This window comes from Homo sapiens, chromosome 20, assembly GCF_000001405.40.
Source record: "Homo sapiens chromosome 20, GRCh38.p14 Primary Assembly".
Taxonomy (NCBI): Eukaryota; Metazoa; Chordata; class Mammalia; order Primates; family Hominidae; genus Homo; species Homo sapiens.
In genome coordinates, this window is record NC_000020.11 from 38,691,296 (window position 1) to 38,695,037 (window position 3,742).

Below are 3,742 nucleotides of genomic sequence, written 5' to 3' on the forward strand. Positions count from 1 at the left end.
AATAGCCCATTTTTTGCCTCATGGAAGCAAACCATGCCCTAGCTGGAAAATCCAAAAAAGTGTTTTAAGCTAAAAAATGAAACCCAGTACTCTCCTTTTGCAAACATAGGGGCATGTAAACCAGTAAGTTTAAGAAGCCAACTCATACTAAAAATTCAAAAAGATACTGGATACTCAAGGTGAAAGGAGGAGATCAGAAAGGAGTGAAATGGAAGGAAAGTTAAGCTGGGATCTACTTCCTCCCAAGGTTACAGACATTGCTATCAGCTGGCAGTGCAACTTCAGGCTAGTTATTACACCTCATTCATACTCTGTTTCCTCATTTGTAATATGGGGAATCTGATAGCAACTATGTCATAAGGGTGGTGGGTGGGCTAAATGAGTTGAGTTCTGGCATATAAGTAACTTAGCATGGAGCACAACAAATGCTTACTTTGTGTTTGTCGTCATTGCTTCCAAGTTCCTTCTTTGGTCTCTATTGGTGTGGAGTATCTCATTGCTTTTTTTTTTCACAGATTTTCATTCTGTCACTTAGGCTGGAGTGCAGTGGCTCAATCATAGCTCACTGCAGCCTTGAATTTCTGGGCTCAAGAGATCCTCCTTCCTCAGTCTGCCAAGTATCTAAGACCACAGGTATGCACCACTATGCCCAGCTAAGTTTAAACAAATTTTAATTTATTTTTATGCTATTTTATTTATTGTGTAGACAGGGTCTTGCCCTGTCACCCTGGGCTGGAGTGCAGTGGCAGGATCTTGGCTCACTACAGCCTCAATCTCCCAGGCTCAAATGATCCTCCTGCCTCAGCTCCCCAGTAGCTGAGACTACAGGCATGCACTACCATGCCCCGCTAATTTTTGTACTTTTTGTAGGGATGGGGTTTTGTCATGTTGCCCAGGCTGGTCTCATCTGCCTTAACTCAAGCACTCCTTCTGCCTCAGCCTCTCAAAATGCTGGGATTACCGTTGTGAGCCATCATGCCTGGCCACATATCCTTCTTTATCTAAGGTCAGAAGAACCTTTAATTTCAATTAACCTTCCTTGGTCAAATAGTCTTTTCTTCAACCACTGGCCAAGCTGAAAGTAGAGACTAAAAAATACCACACCATTATTTGGCCAGCAAAGAAACTCTCCCTCCCCTACCATCACCATTTCCTCTCCTTTTCCTTTTGCCTCTTCCCCCTTTCCCTCCCTTTCTCCTCCCTCCCTTACCTTCTCCTTTCCTCCTTTCTTCCCTGCTTGCTTTGGCTTAATGAAAGGCCTCACAGGACGCTGTCCGTGGTGCTGACTTGTTTTTCTGTCTTGTTCAAACTCTGTATGCAAATGAAAAGACAACACAGCTATTGAATGTTGAAGCTGGGGACATTCCCCAAGCTAATCTCTGTGCCTGTGGTGTGGCCACGGCTCTGGCCATTATCTCTGGCCACAGTGCCCCGGAGATGCTGATGCTGACCTGGACCAGAGGTGCCAGCCTGGGCACTGCCAGTCCCCACAGCCATTGACTAGAGCCCCAGGGCACAGGCAGCTAGCAACTTATCTGGGTGCCCCAGGGACTGCTATTGGCAAAGTGATGGCCCCACAGGGACCAAATGTGAAGCTAAAGCAGGATACGCAGGTCGGAGATAAGGCCAAGAACAGATTCCCTTTAGCGCTCAAGTGCTGTTTGTCAGAAATTGACAGCCCCACGGCCCTGGCCGGTGACAGGCACAGGGTGATAACAATACCATATGATCAGCATCATTGGAGGACAGGCTGTCACTGGCTCCCAGAGATAAGGAAACAATGGGCGACCCCTCTGCCTAGGGAAAGGCCTGCATGGAGCCCCCAGGGCAAAGCAGCAAGATCTAAAGTGTGTCTCTGACCCCTGGCACCTCACCAGCACCCCCTCCTCCCAGCAGGCCCCCAGAGCTCCTTCCTGTCACCCAGGGACCCGTGGCCTCCATTGTGCACCCACTATTCTGACCCCTGTTCTCTGGAGTTAATCATGTTATCTCTAGAGCACAGGTGTTAGTGGATGATAACAGACAAGCAGTTCCCTCCCCAGCTCCCTGCACCACAGACGCTGCTAAGGGAATGGAGTGGGAGAACAGAGCTTTCTCGAGGTGGTTTATGCAGGCCATGGATTCAGCACTAACAGCCTCTCTCCAGCACTGGATTCTTGAGAAATAAAAAGGTTGGGTGTGGAGGGGCTCCCACATTTTCTAGTGTCTTCCCATTCCACCCCACTGGAGCAAAGCTGTTGACCCTACACTTGGGGACATATTTTGGGATGGGTTCCACTGCCCTGGCTTGGCTATATCCCTTCCCCCACTGCTGCGCAACCTTTCCCTACCATAGCCCCAATAGCCATGAAATGGGGACTCAGCACACCTAGGTCCTAGTTCTTTCCCTGACCCCAGCTTGATGAATGATTTAGGGATCATAGTCAAGTCACTTCACTCCCTGGCCTCAGTTTCTTCAACTGTAAGTTGGGGCTACTCATCTGTAACTATCAGATCTGCCAGGTGGTATGAAGTTCCAGTGAGATAAATATATGTGAGGGCTGGGCGGTGGGAGATCTGAGATTTACCCCCCACTAACCAGGCCCACTGAGTACAGTGTGGAGCACTGCTGGGTCTCAGCTTGGAGGTCTGCTCTGCCTGACTCCCCAGGTGGCAAGATCATCCCCCCGTTCCCCTCCTCTTCTATGCTTAGGCTGTGATTTCTCATGGGCTCACCTCTCATACCCTCCTGTTTTCTTTCTCTCATGTCTGTCTCTCAACTGGTTCTTGTTCTTGCCTTTTTTTCTGATCTTTTACGTATATCTGCAAACCTCACTCTGCTTCCTCATTTGTTGCTGATGCAGAAAGAATGCAAAGGATTATTTATTTAGCTTGTATTTTGGCACCATTATGGATGACTTTGATGTTGCTTTGGACAACCATCCAGCACCCTGGCTTCGTAGTTTTTTTTGACCCTGTCAACTCCAATGACCTCCACCCCCTTACCCCTTCAGTTCGTGCCTGCGGACACATTCTAGACTTTGTCATCACCCACAACTTACCCGTCTCGAAAATATTAAACTTTCTGGTGACAGCTCCTGTGTTCTTCATTCTCTAATTCCACTCTGCCTTCTCTTTAGCATCACTAAGATCTCTAGTTCTTTCTGTCTCCATTTCCTACCAAAATGCTTGCCCTTTGCTTGGTCTGTTTCTTTTCTAACTGGCCAAGATCCCCTGACTCATGTCAAATATGTCCCTGCCCATGCGTCCTTTGTCCCTCTGCTGCCCTCATTTATTTACTTCATTCATTCACTCATTCATTCATTCATCCAATACATTTTTAGGGCTGGTCAAGGGAATGGGTGGTATTTATACAATTTTTTTTTTTGAGACAGTGTTGCTCTATCACCCAGGCTAGAGTGCAGCAATGCAATCACGGCTCACTGCAGCCTCGACCTCCTGGGCTCAAGCTATCCTCCCACCTCAGCCTCCTGAGTAGCTGGGACTATAGGTATGCACCACCATGTCCAGCTAATTAAAAAAAATTCTTTTGGTAGAGACAGGATCTCACTGTGTTGCCCAGGCTAATCTCAAACTCCTGGCCTCAAGTGATCCTCCCACCTCAGCCTCCCAAAGTGCTGGGATTACAGGCATGAGCCATTGTGCCCAGCCCCAGCACATTTTTATTGTGCATCTACTATGTGTCAGGCACAGTGCTAGGATCTAGAGAGCCTATGGTAAGCAAAATAGATAATAGTTATCC

General features: G+C 47.8%; 1 annotated feature.

Annotated features, from left to right (window-relative positions):
* Positions 567-1,790: an enhancer, noted in NCBI's record as "VISTA enhancer hs2620". NCBI's record gives its function as "enhancer in: hindbrain (rhombencephalon)[4/6] | midbrain (mesencephalon)[6/6]" and the evidence as "EXISTENCE:transgenic organism evidence [ECO:0001131][PMID:17130149]".